At 37.3% G+C, this 20712-nt stretch overlaps 1 protein-coding gene across 55 annotated transcripts in view; it reads right to left on the reverse strand.

The window, feature by feature from the left end:
- LRRFIP2 (LRR binding FLII interacting protein 2) overlaps positions 1 to 20712 on the reverse strand; it is a 123735-nt gene that overhangs the window by 22673 nt on the left and 80350 nt on the right. For 39 of the 55 annotated variants that reach the window (NM_001134369.2, NM_001348305.1, NM_001348301.1 and 36 more), the window contains 3 exons: positions 19494 to 19610; positions 16169 to 16240; positions 8338 to 8508 (listed from right to left, as the gene is read on the reverse strand). In NM_001134369.2, coding sequence (NP_001127841.1) covers positions 8338 to 8508; positions 16169 to 16240; positions 19494 to 19610 — 360 coding nt within the window. The remainder of the gene's footprint in view (positions 1 to 8337; positions 8509 to 16168; positions 16241 to 19493; positions 19611 to 20712) is intronic. The other 16 variants (NM_017724.2, NM_001348308.1, NM_001348304.1 and 13 more) reach the window with 1 other exon arrangement.

Consider the following 20712-nt stretch of genomic DNA (forward strand, 5'->3'; position numbering starts at 1 on the left):
TATAATTATCAGGAAAACCTGAACTAATCAATGGCAAAATTATTAAAAACAAAAGATAATTTAGTAAAGTAACAGGTTATAAAATGAACATATACAATTCAATGACATTCATATACAAATAAAATTCAAAGAAGGAATAATAAATGCAATATCAAAATAAAATCAATATTAAATAAAAAACATACATGTAAACTTACAAAATATATCAAAAACCTATATGAGGAAAATTATATAAAGCATTCCCAAAAGACAGAGAAATAGGATTGAATAAATGGAAAGGCATACCGTCTTCTTGGATTAAAAGTCTCACAACATTATAAAAATGCCAGTTCTCCCTAAATTAATCTATACATTTAATGTAGTACAAATAAAAATACCATCAGGTTTTTCTTTTATCATCATCAGAGCAAGTTGATTTGAAAGAAAAACACAAGAAAAAGTAGCCAGAAAAATACATACTGAAAAAGAAGAAAGCCGGCCTTATTAGGTATTAAAACATATTATAAAGCTTCTATAATTAAAACAATGTTGTTATGGCACATGAATATAGACCAAGGGAGCAGAATAGAGAATTCAGGAAAAACCCACTTAAATATACAAATATATTTAAAAACAATAAAAATAAGAGCATCTCAAATCAATGAGAAGGAAAGACTTTTAAATTAGTAATGTTGGGATAACTGGATATCCATTTGGAAAAAGATAAAATTGGAACTATACCTCATACCACACACCAGGACAAATTCCAAATCAATCAGAGATTTACATAAGGAAAGAAAGCCAGGGAGTGAATGGGGGAAGAGGGAAGGGAAGGGAGAACAAACTGTACAGGAATAAAAGTAACCAAGGAGTGGGGCAATCTTTACTGAAAAAATGACTCAAAAATCCACAAGCAATGAGGTAATGGTACAATAAATTAGACTACATAAAAATAAAAATTTTGGGCTGGGCATGGTAGCTCATGCCTGTAATCCCAGCACTCTGGGAGGCTGAAGCAGGCAGATCCCTTGAGCCGAAGAATTCAAGACCCTGCCTGGGCAACATGGCAAAACCCCATCTCTATAAAAAAAATTCAAAAATTAGCCAGGGTTGGTGGCGTGTGCCTGTAGTCCCAGGTACTCTGGAGGCTGAGGTGGGAGGACCACCTGAGCCTGGGGAGGTCAAGGCTATAGTGAGCCATGATGGTGCCATTGCACTCCAGCCTGACGACGGAGTGAGACTCTGTCTCCAAAAAATAAATACATAAATAAATAAAACTTTTGAATGGCAGAGAATCTCTAAAACTAGGCCAGGCACGGTGGCTCACGCCTGTAATCCCAGCACTTTGGGAGGCCGAGGTGGGCGGATCACCTGAGGTCGGGAGTTCGAGACCAGCCTGACCAACATAGAGAAACCCTGTCTCTACTAAAAATACAAAATTAGTCAGGCGTGGTGGTGCATGCCTGTAATCCCAGCTACTCGGGAGGCTGAGGCAGGAGAATTGCTTGAACCTGGGAGGCGGAGATTGTGGTGAGCCGAGATTGCGCCATTGCACTCCAGCCTGGGCAACAGGAGCGAAACTCTGTCTTAAAAAACAAACAAACAAAAACTAGAAAGAAAGAAAACACTAACTGCATAGAATAATAAGCTACGGAAACGGACAGTTTACAGAAAAAGAAATAGAAATAGCTCTGAATATGAAAAGATACTCATACTAAGAGAAACGGAAACAAACAAAATACTAGCAAAAGTTCAAAAACTTGACAACATATTCCAGAACAGAACTATGGGGAAAGAAATAGGCCCTCATACATTTTGGTGAGAATGCAAATGGTATAATGCTTACAAAGGAGACTACAGCAGTATCTGCAAAACTACATACCTTTCGACCCAGCAATCTCACTCTTCATCATAGATACATTGGCAAAAATACAAAAAGACCTATGCAGTATGTTATTTCTACAGGACTATTTTTAACAGCAAAACATGACAAACTTGAATGTCTATTAATATAGGGAACTGGTAGAATAAAGTGTGGTACATCCATACTGTGGAATAATTATGCAGTGGTGAAAAAGAATGAGCAAGATATCTCTATACAACATTCATAAGGTGATAAAATCTACATGCACGACAGCATTTATATTAACAATATGCTACTATTTTCTAAGAAGAGTAAGAAATACATATATTTGTACATATATTTTGAATGATTATATATACATATATATCTTTTTAGATTAAAAATGGCTACCTAATTTATCTTCTTGGATTTAAAACATGGAAAGATAAACCATTAAAATTTAAAATTCCCTAAAGGAAGGAGAAAATAGAGACAGAGACAGGGATAGAAGATTAACTTCTTCAGATATATTCTTTGTTAACGTGACTCCAGATCTATGTAACTATTCTAGATAGTTACAAAATTGTAAAACAAAATTAAATTTAAAAAGCAATTCCTAGTGGAAACAATTCAAGTGGCCATTGATAGATGAATGCATAAGCAAAATGTGGTATATATACAGTGGAATATTATTCAGCTTTAAAAAAGAAACTCTTGTCACACGCTACAACATGGATGAGCCTTAGGACATTATGCTAAATGAAGTAAACCAGTCAAGAAAAGATATATTATTATATGATTCTACTTACTTATGAGTTTGGTACACAGAGTAGCCAAACTCACAGAGACAGAAAGTAGGATGGTAGTTGCCAAGGGCTGGTGGTAGGGAGAAATGGGTAATTGTTTAATGGGTACAGAGTTCTAGTTTTGAAAGATAAAAAATTTCTGGAGATCTGATGTACACTAATGTGAATATGCTTCACACTACTGAACTCTACACTTTAAAATGGTTAAGATAATAAATTTATCATGTTTTTTAATGATAATTAAATTTTTTAAAATAAAAATAATTTTAAAAGTAATTCCAAATATTGAAAATAAAATGCAGTGAACCTAACTATACATCCAGTTAGAAGCGCAGAAAGAAACTATTTCAAGTAACTTCTAAAAACAATAGTTTGGCCACACACAGACTAGTGGCAAAAATAACAGCCAAGCAAAACAAACAAAATAAAAATCTTTTAACTATTTTCAGTAATTAAATTGTTGGTGTTAATGTTGGTATTGCTATTCTAGGCAACTTCGGATAAAGCAAAGAGAACAGAACGTAACATAATTACTATCATCCCTAGAAACTTTGAGAACTAGGAATTGTAGTGTAGGGGAAACAAACAAAGATACAGATGTAAGACAGAAGAGGTTAAATAACCCTAGAGTCCTGCATGTGAACTGGAACTATCAGCAAGAACTCATAATGTATTTTGTTGTTAAAAACAAAAAAAAACTTCACACACATATTTCCCAAATTTATCCACTGAAAAGACCCATAAACACTGACCTACTTGGTGGCAATGAGCATCTCTAGCACTCATACTAAAACAGAACTAGGGCTCCTTGGACAAATGGCTGATTCCAGGTCTGGGGCAGAAAATGTACAAGATGAGACTGGGACATCTTCTGCCAGAAAGCAAAGAAGCTATCAAAAACAATTAGACTCACCAGAAGTACTTGAGAATCAACCTCAAGAGGTTCACATTAGCCAAAGATGGGACAATTTTATCATCAAAAAGAATAAAAGCTGCAATGCAACTGAAGATATCAAATGCTTGAATTTATGACTTCATATTGATATTTTAAGAGAAAAGTAATTGGTCACAACCAATTCCTTTTTTTGAAAACTCATAAAGGGAGAAAATATTTGCGAATAATATATCTGATAAAATTCTTATATCTAGAATATATAAACCTTACAAGTCAATAATAATAAGGCAAAATCCAATTTTAAAATGGACAAAGGATCTGAATAGACATTTTGCCAAGGAAGATATGCAAATAGCCAATAAGCCCATGAAAATATGTTCAAAATCATTAGTCACCAGGGAGATGCACATCAAAACCACACCTATTAGGATGGCTAGAATAAAAAGGACAGATAACAAGTGTTGGTGAGGATGTGGGGAAATCAAAACCTGCATACATTGCTGGTGTGAGAATATAAAATGGTGCAGCCACTTCGGAAAACAGTCTGGCACTGTTCAAATGGTTAAACACAGATTTATCGTATGAATCAGCAATTCCACTCCCAAGTATATACTTAAGAAAAAGGAAAGCATATATCCAGACCATGAGCAGTGGCTCATGCCTGTAATTCCAACACTTTGGGAGGCCAAGGCAGGAAGATTGCTTGAGGCCAGGAGTTACCAGCCTGGGCAACATAGCAAGGCCCCATCTCTTAGAATAAAAAAGAAAAAGAAAACTTACGTCCAAAAAACAACCTGTATACAAATGTTTATGGAAGCATTATTCTTAACAGGAAAAAGTATAAACAACCCAAATGTCAATCAATGCACAAATGGGTAAACAAAATGTAGCATACCCAAAAAAATGGAATATTAATAGGCTATAAAAAGGAATTAAGTATTGATACATGGTATAACATGGATGAACCTTGAAAACATCACGCTAAGCGAAAGAAGCCAGTCACAAAAGACCATGTATTATATGACTCCTTTCATATGAGTCTAGAATAGGGAACTCTATAGATAGAAAGTAGATCAGTGGTTACTTAAGACTGAGGGGTTTGGGGGAAAGGAAGATGATACTAAAGGGTATATGGTTTCTTTCTGAGGTAATGAAAACATACTAAAAGTAACTGTGATGAAGGTTACACATATATGTGAATATACTAAAAACCACTGAATTGTACACTTTAAATGGATGATTTGTATGTTATTTGAATTATATCTCAATAAAGCTGCTTAAAAATAACATTAAATAGGCCAGGCGCAGTGGCTCACACCTGTAATCCCAGCACTTTGGGAGGCCGAGGTGGGTGGATCACCTGAGGTCAGTTCGGGACCAGCCTGACCAACAAAGTGAAACCCCATCTCTACTAAAAATACAAAATTAGCCAGGCGTGGTGGTCCATGCCTGTAATCCCAGCTACTCAGAAGGCTGAGGCAGGAGAATCACTTGAACCCGGGAGGCAGAGGTTGCAGTGAGCCGAGATTGCGCCATTGCACTCCACCCTGGGCAACAAGAGCAAAACTCGTCTAAAAAAATAAAATAAATAAAATTTAAAAAAATAAATAAAATAACATAAAATAAAATAAATTGGTAATGATAAAATCAGAACATCCCATTTTGCAGCCCCTAGTCAATTAAAGGATCTAAGCACACACATACAGCCTAACAGTCAGCCACACATCTGGGCCTCCTGAAGGAAGACAACTGCATCATCTATGAAGCAGACTTTCAAAAAAAACTGAAGTTATATTTGATTAAGCCTCTGTGCCTAACTACCTATTTACAGAGAATACAGAGGAAAGGGAAACATGGTAAAGATACTATGGGGACGAAAACGGAAAAACTTGTAAGACTGGGAAATATTAAGCAACCCAGTTTCTTCAACATATATATTATAAGGAGAAAAAACATGAAAGAGGACCTATACATGAAAAGAGACTTAAAAGATTTATCAACTCATTCTAAGGTGTGAAACTTACCTGGATCCCGATTTTTTTAAGTGTAAAAAAGAAAAATCATTTATGACATTTTGAAACTACTGAAATTTTAACATTGATTAGATATATAATATGAATTATTGTTAATTTTACAGGTGTGAAATGGTCTTTTGATTATGCTTTAAAAGAGAAACAATGGGCTGGGCAAAGTGGCTCATGCCTGTAATCCCAACACTTTGGGAGGTCAAAGAAGGAGGATTGGGCAATACAGCAAGGCCCCATCTCCACAAAAAGATTTTTAAAAAACAGCCAGGCATGGTAGCATGTGCCTACAGTTCTAGCTACTCCAGATTACTTAAGCGTAGGAGATCAAAGTTACAGTGGGCTATGATCGTGCCACTGCACTCCAGCCTGGGGAGCAGAGCAAGACCCTGTCTGTAAAAACAATAAAATTAAATTAAATTAAAATATAAAACAAAATAGTTATTGTAATTCCAGGAGGAGGCACCAAAGACATTTTGAAAATTTTTATTAATACTGTATAATTATTATGGAATGGTCCTTCTCTACTCTCACTACCTGCTTCTGTAATGAAATACACCAGAATGCCTGACCTCTTTGTGTATCTCTGAATATAAACATTCTACTTTATAAAGCAATAGTTGTTTAGAACAAGAGAGCTCGGAGTAAAGGTATGTTAGAAAGAGATACTGTCACAAAGTGTTCTGCATCACAGTACGTGAAGCAAATTTCCAGGGTATTAAAAAAAACAATACATTTTAGGTTTGAAAAGTACAAGACCTGCCACGGTGGCTCACAACTGTAATCTCAGCACTGTGGGAAGCTGAGGTGGGTGGATTGCTTGAGCCCAGGAGTTCGAGACCAGCCTGGGCAACATGGTGAAACCGTTTCTATAAAAAAAAATTTGTCTTTAATTAGCCAGGCGTGGTGGTACGTGCCTGTAGTCCCAGCTACTCAGGAGGCTGAGGTGGGAGGATCACTTGAGCCTGGAGACAGAGGCTGCAGTGAGCTATACTTGCGCTACTCCACTCCAGCCTGGGCTACAGAGTGAGACCTTGTCTCCAAAAGAAAAAAAAAAAAAAAAAAAGGACAAGATTAAGAAAACAACTCTATGCATACTAAAATAACTCTATTACCTTCTAAAATGATGGAGGGAAAAACTAAGTTGGTTAAAATAGCTAATTATAAGGGTTTTCTTTATTTTTAAAAATGCTGAAGGATATTTGAGACGATGGAAAGATAATTCATTTTAGTAATGACCCTTAAATACTTAGCATGAGATTTTTACTCTAGTCTGCTAGAAGCAAAGAGCCAAAGACAGATAAGAAAAAATGTGTGGGACAGCAAAAAAAGGAGTCCAGAGGCTCTAGGAAAAGCATGATGGCTCAGAATCTCCAAAAATGGCCTATGGGATATATAAGAAGAATCAAAGATATACATATCTAGCATATATAATGCTCTTCAATGGGCCACTGTCAGTCCAATATGAAAACAACTAGAAGCCTCTTTTTCACCATCTAAATACCAATCCTAAATAAACAATTTTAGAGCAGTTTAAGATTCACAGTAAAATTATGTTTAAAGTACAGAGAGTTTTCATATACTCCCTGTCCCCACACACGCACAGTCTACCCTATTATAAACAACCCACAATAGAGTGGTACATTTCGTTCTATCACTGAACCAACATTGACAGATCACTATCACCCAAAGTCCAGAGTTTACATTAGGGTTCACTCTTGGTGGTGTACATTCTATGGTTTTGGACAAATGTATCCATACATGTATCCATAATAACATGTATCCACCATTATAATATGATACAGAATAGTATCACTGCCCTAAAAATCCTCTGTGCTCTGGTCTATTCATCCCTCTCCTCCAAACGCCTGGCAAACACTTTCTAACACTTTTTGAATGTGACCAAAACAGGCTGGAATGGGCATTTCTAGTCCTCAAGGAAAGAAATTCCTATAAAGACTACAGTAATAATGTTGGTCTCCTACAGGTTATATAAACAGCTTCTCTCCCTTTATTATGTGCAAATTCAGATTGCTGTTTCTAACAATTTATCAATATGCACTTCCTAAATTATTTTCTGGATTTTTTATATTGGCAATGTAGTAGCAATCCATTTCTGGCAATAATACCCATTTGACCTCTGCTTGAACTGACATCAACCCTTCAAAAAGTCTAAAACATATGCTTTTAAAAGAATCCAATTTGTTTTCTGCAGTTGTCAGAGAGCAAATCTGGGCCTTGGACAATGCGTTATATTCTCCATCTGTACATTTTAACATTACAACTTATAAACCTCTAAAGAAAACATCTTTCAATTTCTGACCCACATCTCCAAATTGCTGATTTTAAATAACTGATTAAAGACTTCTATCCAATTATTTAGAAAATGGATTCTCTTGAACCGTTCAGAAGTTCATAGAAAAAAAATGAATCATCCTATTGAGAGTCTTTGGAGCTTTGCGGGAGTTCCAGTCACTTGTAACCAGAAGAAATAAGTAACACTGTAATTACAGTCCCAATTAAGAGATAGAAAATGAAGCTAAAACTTGAGTTGTATTCTATTTTCAGAAACTTAACAGAAGACATAAGCTTTTCCTCAAGAAAATATTTTTTTAAATAAAAAAAGAGTCATCCAGGGCCTGATATCTCATGGTGTTCTGTCAATTTCCTTGGGCCATTCAGTTTTGACTGAAACATCATTCCTAAATAAGTATGCTGCAATCTTCCATCACTTTGTAAGTGGCAGGCTTTTATTTTCTGCCCCAAGAGAAAATACAAGATAAGCATTACCTTTGATTTTTCTTCATTTTCTCTATAAAATTCTGCCATCTGTTCCTCCTGCTCTTCAATAACATCCTTGAGTGTGTCTACTTGGTAGATCAAATTGTTCTTCTCATTGTCTAACTGTGCATTGGAAACCATGGCTTTCTTGTATTTTTCTTCCACTTCAGACAAAGATTCCTAAATGAGAGTTAAGTCATCAGTCTGATATCTAAAATGTTAATTGAATACATGCAATATAACAGGAAATTATAGCACTGCCACAAACACATAAAGATGCATTTTCATAAAATACAAGCGGTTTGGGGAACTCCTTGTTTAGTAACATGCATGTGAAACAGGAAGACAATAATAAGCCGATAATGCCTTTATAAGAACAATATGTGCTCTCTGTTCCCCAAGAAAACAAAATTAAGCAGCAACATAGCCTCTGAAAGATGAAAAGAATTGCAACAACATATATCTGTAAGGGTCATAAAATGAAGAATCATCAATATTTTCAGAAATTTTACTCTTATAATTTTAATAACAGACTGGTGTTCAGAACGCAGTGATACCACAGAATACAGCCTCTCTTTACACAGGTGAACTTCATACGCATTTGAATTTTGCCACTTTCTAGACAGTTGTTTTTAGTACTTTCCTGTTCTGCATAAAAATGCCAACATAAAGGTAAATATTTTTTCTAGCAATTATCCAAATTTCAATCATGTTTAAATAAGCAACACAAAAATGAATATTAAAAAAAGAGCTTGGCCAGGCACAGTGGCTCATCTCTGTAATCCCAGCACTTTGGGAGGCCAAGGGGGTAGACTGCTTGAGCCCAGGAGCTCAAGACAAGCCTGGGCAACATGACAAAAACCTGTCTCTGTAAAAAAAAAAGTACAAAAATTAGCCAGACACAGTGGCGCACACCTGTAGTCCCAGCTACTTGGGATGCTAGGTGGGAGGACCGATTGAGCCCAGGAGGTCAAGGCTACAGTAAGCAGAGATTGTGCCACCGCACTCCAGCCTGGGTGACAGAGCGAGACCCTATCTCTATCAATAAAACAAAACAAAATAAGAGAGTCTGATCTAGTGTCACAGTTTTGAAGTAAAAAAAAAAGGTACCACAAAATGCCTGGAACGTTACATATCTCAAAATTTTCTGCCTAAAATAGCTTACATGTTTTTTTGTGTGTAACTATATCTACTTTGGTAATTACTACTGCCTAATGACTTTTTTAAAGCTAAAAAAAATGTTTCACACAGGAAAAGTAATCATTTATGGAAATAAATTTAAAAAATACTAGCACAAATGTTTATCAATGAAATGGAACTAACAGCCCAGAACTTACATTTACAATCAGTTAATTTGGACAAAGGGGTCCATGTAACTCAATGGGAAAAGAATAAATGGTATTGGGACAAGTGGATACCCACAAACAAAAGAATGAAGTTGGACTCCCACCTCACACCATACACAAAAATTAACTCAGCATAAGCCATAGATGTAAATGTAAGAGCTAAAACAATAAAACGCTTCAAAGAAAATATGGACAAATCTTCATGAAGTTGGGATAGGCAATGGTTTTTCAGATACACCAAAAGCACTATAAACCAGCCGGGTGCGGTGCCTCATGCCTGTAATCCTGGTACTTTGGGAGGCTGAGGCAGGTGGATCACTTGAGGTCAGGAGTTCAAGACCAGCTTGACCAACATGGTAAAACCCTAAAACCCTATCTCTTGTACCAAAAATACAAAAATTAGCCGGGCATGGTGGTGGGTGCCTGTAATCCCAGCTACTCAGGAGGCTGAGGCAGGAGAATTGCTTGAACCCAGGAGGCAGAGGTTGCAGTGAGCCAAGATCATGCCACTGTACCCCAGCCTGGGTAACAGAGTGAGACCATGTCTCAAAAACAAACAAACAAACAAAAAGCATTATAAACCAAAAAAAAAGACTTCACTCAAATATAAAACTTTTTTTTTTTTTCGAGATGGAGTCTCACATTATTGCCCGGGCTGGAGTGCAATGGCGCGATCTTGGCTCACTGCAACCTCCACCTCCCGGGTTCACGCGATTCTCCTGCCTCAGCCTCCCGCGTAGCTGGAATTACAGGCACACATCACCACTCCCGGCTAATTTTTTGTATTTTTTAGTAGAGATGGGGTTTCACTATGTTGGCCAGACTGGTCTCGAACTCCTGACCTCATGATCTGCCCACCTCCGCCTCCCAAAGTGCTGGGATTACAGGTATGAGCCACTGCGCCTGGCCCAAATGTAAAACCTTTATGCTGCAAATGATATGATCAAGAAAGTAAAAAGACAACCCACAGAATGGGAGAAAATATTTATAAATCTTATATCTGATAAGGGACTTATATGCAGAATAATATATAAACAACTCTTACAACTCAACAATAAAGGACACACAAATCAATTTAAAAATGGGCAAGGACCTGGATATTTCTCCAAAGAGGATATGCAAATGGCAAATAAGCACATGAAAACACGCTCAACATCATTAGTCATTAGGAAAATGCACATCGAAACCACAATAAGATACCACCACACTCACTAGGATGGCTATAATCTATAATCAAAAATACAGAAGACAAGTGTTAGTAAGGATGTGGAGAAACTACATTTCCCATATATTGCTGGTAGGAACATAAAATGGTGCAGCTACTTTGGAAAACAGTTTGACAATTCCTCAAAATGTTAAATATAGTGTTACCACATGAGCCAGCAATTCTATTCCTAGCAATCTACCAAAGAGAATTGAAAAGATATGTCTACACAAAAACTTGCACACAAATGTTCACAGCAGCATTATTCATAATAGACAGAAAAGTATAAACAACCCAAATGCCTATCAACTGACAAATGGATTAACAAAATGCAGCAAATCCATACAGTAGAATACTATCTAGCCATTAAAAAAAGACTGACAGATAACATGACATGGGTGAATATTGAATATATTATGCTAAATGAAAGCCAATCACAAAAGACCACATATTGTATGATTCCATTTGTATAAAATCTCCAGAATAGGCGAATCTACAGAGACAGAAAGTTAGTGATTGGGGTTTCTTTTCTGGCTGATGAAAATGTTCTAAAGATGGGTTGTGGTGCTAGTTGCACAACTCTGTGAGTATGCTAAAAACTACTGAATTATATATTTTAAATGGGTAAATTCTTATGGAATGTGAATTATATCTAAATAAAAATACATACATACATACACACACTTTTTTTTTTTTTTCTTGGAGACAGGGTCTCACTCTGTCACCCAGGCTAGACCACTGTGGCACAATCTCAGCTAACTGCAGCTTCGACCTCCCCAGACTCAGGTGATCCTCCCATGTCAGCCTCCCGAGTAACTGGGACCACAGGCACGTACTACCACACCTGGCTAATTTTTTGTAGAGACAAGGTTTCACCATGTTGCCCGGGTTGATCTCAAACTCCTGGGCTCAAGTGATCCACCCACCTTGGCCTCCAAAACTGGATTGAAGGTATGAGTCACCACGCCTGGCCACACACACTTTTAATAATGCTTCATAAACCAGAATTAAGTTGTCAGGGAAGATTTAAACTACGATTAGAAACAAATTTAACCAAAACAAAGAATATAAGCAAAGTCAATTATACAGTGCTCTAAATGTATCTAAATGTATCTTACTATACTGCAGACTTTAAATAATTCTCATCCATCTGAGAGGCTAATAGCAGGAAAAAAGTCATCACAACTCAGTGCCATATAAAACCACATGAACACCAGAATTTAAGATAGCTCAAGTACTAGATGCATGCACAAAATATATAATACAATAAATAAGACATAAATGTATCCAATGTAATCTTCCTTTAAACACTAGACCACAAAAGACTGTTTTAAACAGAAGTGTCAGGTATTTTAGTGATCTTAATCTCACTCACATAGTGATACCCATTTGGAATTGGTTTTACTTAAATGCTTCTTTTTTTTTTTTTTGAGACGGAGTCTCACTGTGTCACCCAACCTGGAGTGCAATGGCACAATCTCAGCTCACTGCAACCTCAGCCTCCCGGGTTCAAGTGATTCTCCTGCCTCAGCCTCCTGAGAAGTTGGGATTATAGGCTCCCGCCACCATGCCTGGCTAGTTTTTGTATTTTTAGTAGAAACAGGGTTTCACCATGTTGGCCAGGCTGGTCTTGACCTCCTGACCTCAGGTGATCCACCCACCTCAGCCTCCCCATAGTGCTGTGATTATAGGCGTAAGCCACCGTGCCCAGCCTTGAATGCTTCTAAGTCACCGATTTTCAAAGTGTGGGTTCCAGATCAGCAGCAACAGCATCTCCTGGGAACTGGGTAAAAATGCAAATTTCCAATGCCATCCCAGACCCAATGAATAGAAAATCTGAGGGTAAAGTCTAGCAATCTGTATTTATTAAAAGCTCCAGGTGATTATGACACACACCAAAGTGCTGAAGCCACTGTGTTAATGTTTAAGCATTGATTACCTATGCCCATATACTTCTAGAACAAGCCTTCACAACCCTATGACCAAAATTGTCAACCAGATTGTGAGCTATCTGAATTCAGGGACATGATACCTTCATTGTTTTATTCTCAGTCACTTCATACATCAGTCAATTTACAGCTGATGGCAAGACTTACCCCTACAGTCTATTAACTCTTGACAGTTCTTTCTGGGATTACTGAAGTTAAAGCTATTTCTCTCCTTATTCTTACTGTCCTTCTAAGAATTAAAGGCATGGGCAATATTTAAAAAGAACATTGGCCAGGCATGGTGGCTCACACCTGTAATCCCAGCACTTTGGGAGGCAGAGGTGGGAGGATTGCTTGAGCCCAGGAGTTGTAGATGAGCCTGAGCAACATGGTGAGACTGCATTTAAAAAAAAAAAAAAGCGAAGGGGTCAAGCATGGTGGCTAATGTCTGTCATCCCAATGCTTTGAGAGGCCAAGCGGGAGAACTGCTTGAGCCCAGGAGTTCAAGACCATCCTGGGCAGCATAGCAAGACTCCGTATCTATAAAAAATTAAAACATCAGCCAGGCATGGTGGTGCACCCCTATAGTCCCAGCAGGCTTAGGATCGCTTGAGTCCAGGAGTTCAAGGTGGCAATGAGCTACGATTGTGTCACTACACTCCAGCTTGAGTGACAGAGCAAGAGACCTTGTCTCTAAAAAAAAATTTTAAATAAAAAAATAAAATTTTAATTTTAAAAAAAGTACCTAAGTAAAACATAAGATTTTCATTGGAGGTAAAAATAAATAATACAGATAAAGCAAAAGTCTTCCTTGACCACGCGCCCTCCAGAGGCACAAGTGCTATTGGTTTGGTAGATTATCTTTCAGGCCATTTCCTATTTGTTTACAGTATAAAATATATACCCTTGACTTCATATATATTTTTAATACAAATTATATACTCTACATTTTGTTCTATAGCTTGCCTTTTTTCAATACATCTTGGAAAGTTTTCAGTCACTATAGATTTACTATTGTTATTTATTGCTATAACTCTGTACTTAAATTTAATAAAGTATTAATTTTAATAGTTTTTAAAATGGGTTAATGGGTTTAGTCCTTTGACTTACAAAATCGTTAATCTTTCATGAAATAGATCACCTAAATTTTACAATTAATATTTTACTGCATTTTCTGGGTAATAGTACACATGAATATATATACACATATATACACATATATACTAGTACAGCATGGGCAAATGCTGTATTAGTAATAATAAACTTTCCTGATAAAAGGATGGAGGGGAGAGTGGTTGAGAGCATCCCAAAGGCAAACATAATAACAGTAATGTCACAAGCAATGAGCCAACATCCTTTTTCAATAGGATACATCATACCACCATGCTTGGTCACCAATCAGACAATCTTTTCTTTATTTTTATGGGTTTTTTTCCACTTCAAGTGTCAAGGATAAACGTAATCTGAAGTCAAGTTCAATTATATTCTGGCATGAATTAGGACAAGGGATCTCATCTGTTCAAATCTCAAATCTAATCTGTTCTTTTGTATTCTTCAAAGAATGCAATAAATGGTAGATCTAACATGAAAGGAAAAAACGTTTTAAATAAAATGCCAGTAAGAATGCCCCTGAATCACATGATTGCTTTCCTGATACACTGTTACACATGTGACTTTAATATATTTATTTAATGTACCGATTTGTTTGATCCAAGATAATTTCAAAAGTCGTATCTCTAAAACCTTAAAAGAGAGATTAAATCCTGAAGATTAAAGGAGTAAGATTAAATGAGAACATCAACTATTTCCGTAATTCTTCTGATATTTACTGACAAACTCATGCTGCCCTATCAGCAACTTGCAGGCTTCCCTCATGGGCACTTCCCATTGGACTTCTCACCTTTTTGGGTCCTGAGTCTTACTCTGTTTCTCATGGACCATATCACTTGCATGAAGAGTTTGGCTGATAGTGGCGCTACTTCAAATCATGCCAGGGAAGATGACAAAACCCTTGCCCATGAAATCTATGCTTTGTCCTTTGGATATATCCTGAGTCACCCTTCTAAATGTCTTGCTTTTTGCTTTTTTAGAGGTGTAGTGTGTATTTTACTTTTTTTGTTTGTTTGTTTGTTTGTTTGTTTTGAGACAGAGTCTCGCTCCGTCACCCAGGCTGGAGTGAAATGGCACCATCTCAGCTCACTGCAACCTCCACCTTCCAGGTTCAAGCAATTCTCCTGCCTCAGCCTCCCAAGTAGCTTGGATTACAGGCGCCTGCCACCATGCCTGGTGAATTTTTTGTATTTTTAGTAGAGACAGGGTTTCACCATGTTAGCCAGGCTGGTCTCAAACTCCTGACCTCAGGTCATCCGCCCACCTCGGCCTCCCAAAGTGCTGGGATTACAGGCATGAGCCACTGTGCCTGCCCTGTAGTGTGTATTTTGATTTCAAATCAGGACATACATGTGTTCAAATAAACTTCTGGTTTCTTCATAACAGGAGGCTTGAACTTCAGAATGACATGTGAGGAAAAGAAGAGCATGATAACCAAATGCTATGTACAACCAAACTGTCTGCCTCACACATTTATATTGAAAAATGTCAGTGATCCTTTCTGGGAAAAGATAAAGACCATTTACATTTACCTCCAAATTCTTTAAGGCACTAGATCTGTGTCATCTTTTTTGACCTATAGGTTAAAAAAATCCAAGCCAAAAGAAAATATAGGCCTCATGCCTTCATGTTCCTTCCTCCAGGGGGGATATTTATAATAATGGTGTCTCAGTTGCTACTTCCTCTCACATTTAATACTGACTGAGTTTGGTAACAGAAATATGCAACACTTTTTCATTTAGCGTGGAAGAAATTTTGAGGTCTAATTCTCAATAAAAATATTCTTAGTATTTTTTTAGGTGTTTGACCAATTTAATTTTGTATGGCTAAGACACCACGGATATGCATGTATTTTACAAGGTTTTAAAACTGTAAAGGAGGCTGGGCGAGGTGGCTCATGCCTGTAATCCCAGCACTTTGAGAGGCCAAGGCAGGAGGATGGCTTGAGCCCAGGAATTTGAGACCAGCCTGGGCAACACAGTAAGATCCTGTCTGTACAAGAAAAATAAAAAAGAAAAAAAAAAAACTGTAAATGATATCTTCTGCGGAATATTCAAAAACTGTACTACACATTTAAACATAAGCAGAGATTGAAAGTTCACCATTCCTATGCACTGCAGGTTAAGCACATGCTTGAAAGACAAACACTGTTAGTAAAGCTATGTGCAGTTGGTTAACAGAACTTGCAAAGCCACCATTGCCAACACTTCTGCATACAGAGCATGCTTGGGCTGCAGAATGGGCCCTGATACCTTTAGTTCTTTAAGCCCCTGCATGTATCTCCCTTCTACATCCTGTATCTGGTCCTTAAGGTCATAGATATCCTGCAGGACATAGGAATGAACCATTGCATAAAACCATGCACAAACGTATCTTAAATCGCAAAGGATTCAGATGAAATGTGACTCACTTTTGTATATTCCAGACTAAAAGCAGAGAAATCAAAGTACAAAAACATAACTCCCACTCCCAACCACTGAAAAGGGCAAATAGGTCAGGGGATAGTGGGACTGGGGGAAGGTCTAGAGTAATCAATCTAATGTTAAATATTTTCTTGGCATTAAATTCTGTTAATAACAGTGTAGCAAATGGGGACAGGGCTATATATGGAGGAAAAAGCTATATAAATTATAATATTTAAAATCATACAACTTTTAATATTTTATAAATCACTTAAAATTTTTTTAGCACAATGCTTCACCTAGAACTAGTAAAATATACAGTAAATTAATAAGAGGTGGCAAATTTTAATGATTCATGCAAAAGTTTTTTAAAAATATAATAAATGAATATGAACAAAGTTTTCTTTCAATGACTTGGTTACTGGCCACAATTAACTTGAGAGAAAGGGAGTAAAGGGAGGGAAGTTAAACATTTTGAACAGAATGTCAAATGAGATATTCTATCCTGAGGATACCATTTAAATGATGAGAAAAGCACTTGCTCCAAATGTTACTATAATCCTTATAAGAAAAGTGAAACAGGTCAAATTTTAAATGGAAAATACTGTTTCCCTGTGTCTGACCTTGTTATATAAGGTCTATTCTGAATGCTCGATTTATGTCCGAAATAACTGCACAGGGCCCTAAATACAATTCTGCAATTACAAGCAGGATCAATTATTAAAGGCTGATTATACACATTTTTGGTATTATATTTTCCCTGCCTCCTTCATTGCCTCTCCAGTAGGTTTGACTGTCTTTTACTTATCGATTCATTCAATACACATTTATGAAGGACCTATTTAGGAGGCAGATGGTAGGATACAAAAATAACACTTCCTTCAAGAAGGTCATTCTCTCAAGGAAGAAAAAACAAGCAACAAGTAGTATGACAAAAGAAAGCTAAGTCTAAGGCTGGAAGGCCTTGTCCTCTCATATCCTTTTGTCCCATTAGAATGCAGTAGCTAAAGGCAAGAGTTTATCTTATTCAACTTTCCACCCTGGCATTTATGTCTGGTACATAGTAAGAGCTGGTAAGAGCTCAATTAATACTGTCACCTTCAAACCAATGGCCATGCTGGCCTAGGTGCTCTCCTTCTCTGCCGCTGTTGCAAGCCTCTCTATCCTCCCCTAACCCCCCAACCCATTTTCACAAGTAAGACTCCTTTTCCAACCCTACCGACAATTTATTTTTTTTTTTGAGATGGATTCTCGCACTGTTGCCCAGGCTGGAGTGCAGAGGCACGATCTCGGCTCACTGCAACCTCTGCCTCCCGGGTTCAAGCAATTCTCCTGCCTCAGCCTCCCAAGTAGCTGTGATTACAGGTGGCTACCACCATGCCCAGCTAATTTTTTGTATTTTTAGTAGAGACGGGGTTTCACTATGTTGGCCAGGCTGGTCTCAAACTCCTGACCTCGTGATCCACCTGCCTTGGCCTCCCAAAGTCCTGGGATTACATGGGTGACAAATTTTTTTTTAAGGCTAGTCAAGTGAAGCAATGAAGGTGGAGAAGGAACAAATAAATCTGTAACCGCTTGTGATCAATTACTTGTAAACATTACTGCACTCAGACTAGCCCCTACCTACAATCTTAGTCACCGCCTGTCCTCTACCTCCCCTCCAGTGAAGAGGGGACCTCCAGTCCAGGCAAGCTCATCCATCTGAGTCCTGGACTCTCCTCTCACCCACGCAGGTATTTTGATCTGTCAGTTACCCCTCTCTCCTTCCTCAACCTTCCTCCTCTCTCTACTGGTTCAACCCAACCAAAGAAAATAATAATCACTCTCACCTTTAAAAGAAAGCTAAAAACCTTTTCTTAAATTTCTCTCTCCCTACCAATTGCCCAACCAATTCCCAGTCTCTCGTATTCACTCCAGAGCAAGTTTCTCATATTTTCTCCCCTTGCAGTTTTGACTTGCTCACCTCATCCTCACTGTTGAACCACAGGGTTACTGAACTTCTGGCCTGCAATGCTTCCTCTGACTGTGATCAAAGTTATTTTTTAAGAATGCAAAGCAGATAGTATTGCTCTCCTATTTAATATCCCACAGTTGTCAGGGTAAAACTGAATTCCTTTCAGGCTAGCATACAAGATGCTTTGTGATTTGGCCCCTCACTACTTTTCCAGCCTTCTCTCTTACACGCTACTATTCTTCACTTCTCATGCCACCCTCTGGCAACTTTGCTATACAGGTAGCTTTCTGGGTTGTCTGAATGCATCTCTTTGAGGAAGCCTTCCCCCTTCAATTACTTTCCTTGGTTAATTTTTATTTTTCCTTCAAACTTTAGCTCAGAGTTTGTCTTTTCTGAAAAGCCTTTTGTTACCTCTTCTCCTAGTCCAATTTAAATGATGCTTTCTTGAATTACCTTAACAGCCCCATTCTTGCTACTACCATTGTATAACACCACCTGGTTTTATTGGTTTGTATCAGTTTGTCTTCCCTATGAAAAAGGGAAATCCTGAAGGCCAGAACATATTTTGCCTCTTAAATCTCCAAGGCCAAGTGCTCAATAAATCTTGAATGAACAAATGTATGCAATTTCTCTCACTATCCCCTGCCTCACAAACAGCAGGTTCAGCAAATAAAATATATATTTTTTAAAGTTCTCTTTTTCCAAGTAAAGGGGTTAATAAGGATGGAGACTTAATGAGTCAAATAAGCTTTTCATTATCTCAGGTATTTCTGTTACCCAAATATTATTACACTTCTATTACTATGAAAAACTGAGAGATAACTATATTCAAGCAGCTGAATACCATCAAGGCTCAAAAGACTAATAATTCCCACAATCTAGTTCTTTGTACACTCACATATTTTCCATTTAAAACATGGCCAGTTGTTTCTGAGAGAATTACTTTTACATACATTACAAAGTGGGTTTTTTTTGGCATTTGTAAATTAGCAGAAATTCCAACACCATTAAATTTACAGGAAAGAGGACAGAAAAAAGAACTATCTAATCTCCTTCCTTTCAAGCTCTGAAACACTTGAGTCACACTTTTGTACAGTACTTATTTTTTAAAAAGAAATCATATTCCTTCTTTCTACTAAGTCACATTAAAGGTTAAAAGTTCCAGTATATTACCAAGTCAAAAAACTGCTTTTAAAAAGAAAACCAAAAACTTCAGTTTACCCGCAATTCACTTAATGAAGTGTCTGGATCTATTAAGCTGCTGGTGTCCCCACTTCCTCGTCTGGATGAGTTTCCACTTAGAGGGGTTGTTGCTGAGGCAGAATTTCGAGATGAAGGCTAGAAAGAGAAATATGACCCTTCTAAGTCTCATTTCTTTAAAAATATGTTTGCTGTGGAAACTAAAAACAGGGCAGGGTGGTTGGGGGAAGATGTGGGTTTCAGATGAAGAAGTTACCATGTGTAATCAATGGTCAATTTAGATTGGCTTTGCAGGTATCCAGGTATACAGAGAAGGGCCCAAGCATACTAAGCAAAATTTCATGACACAAATACCTTATCAAAATCTATAATTCGTAATAACCAAAAAGAAAATCGTTTTTATGAGGGTTATTTTCTAAGTTTATCTTTGCTATCCTGTAAACAATACTTAAGTGAGCACATCAGATTAACTTAAAGCAGTTTTAGAATTTTATAACTGATATGCTAATCAGCACTTCCCCTTTTTAATTTCTGAACTGCTTATCAATCTCTTCTTTCTCTAATACTCTGTTGAGTTGATAAAGGTGAAGATACTATTTGCAGCAGAGAGTAGCAACACTGGATATCACTATGAATGTAGACTGTTCTTCCCAAAATTCATTTAAACGTGAGATTATGCTATTGATTAATAAACTGCATGAATCTGTGCTGTCCAATATACTTGCGATTAGCCACATGCAGCTACTGAGCACTTGAAATGTGGTTAGTCCAAATTGAGAGTTGCATATAGGATACATACCAGATTTTGAAGGCTTAGTGTAGAAAAAAGAATGAAATATATCTCATTAATAATTTTATATTTATTATTTTTATTATTTTTTTTGAGGTGGAGTCTCGCTGTTGCCCAGGCTGGAGTGCAGTGGCACAATCTTGGCTCACTGCAACCTCTACCTCCTGGGTTCAGGCAATTTTAATGCCTCAGCCTCCCAGACTGAGGAGTAGCTGGGACAACAGGCACGCAAAACCATGACTGGCTAATATTTTTTTTGCATTTTTAGCAGAGACAGGGTTTTACCGTGTTGGTCAGACTGGTCTCGAACTCCTGACCTCAAGTGATCCACCTGCCTTGGCCTCCCAAAGTGTTGGGATTACAGGCATGAGCTACCTAGTCTGGCCTAGTAATTTTATATTGGTTATATGTTGAAATAGTTTGGATATTTGGATTAAATAAAATATATCA

This window comes from Homo sapiens, chromosome 3 (assembly GCF_000001405.40).
Source record: "Homo sapiens chromosome 3, GRCh38.p14 Primary Assembly".
Taxonomy (NCBI): Eukaryota; Metazoa; Chordata; class Mammalia; order Primates; family Hominidae; genus Homo; species Homo sapiens.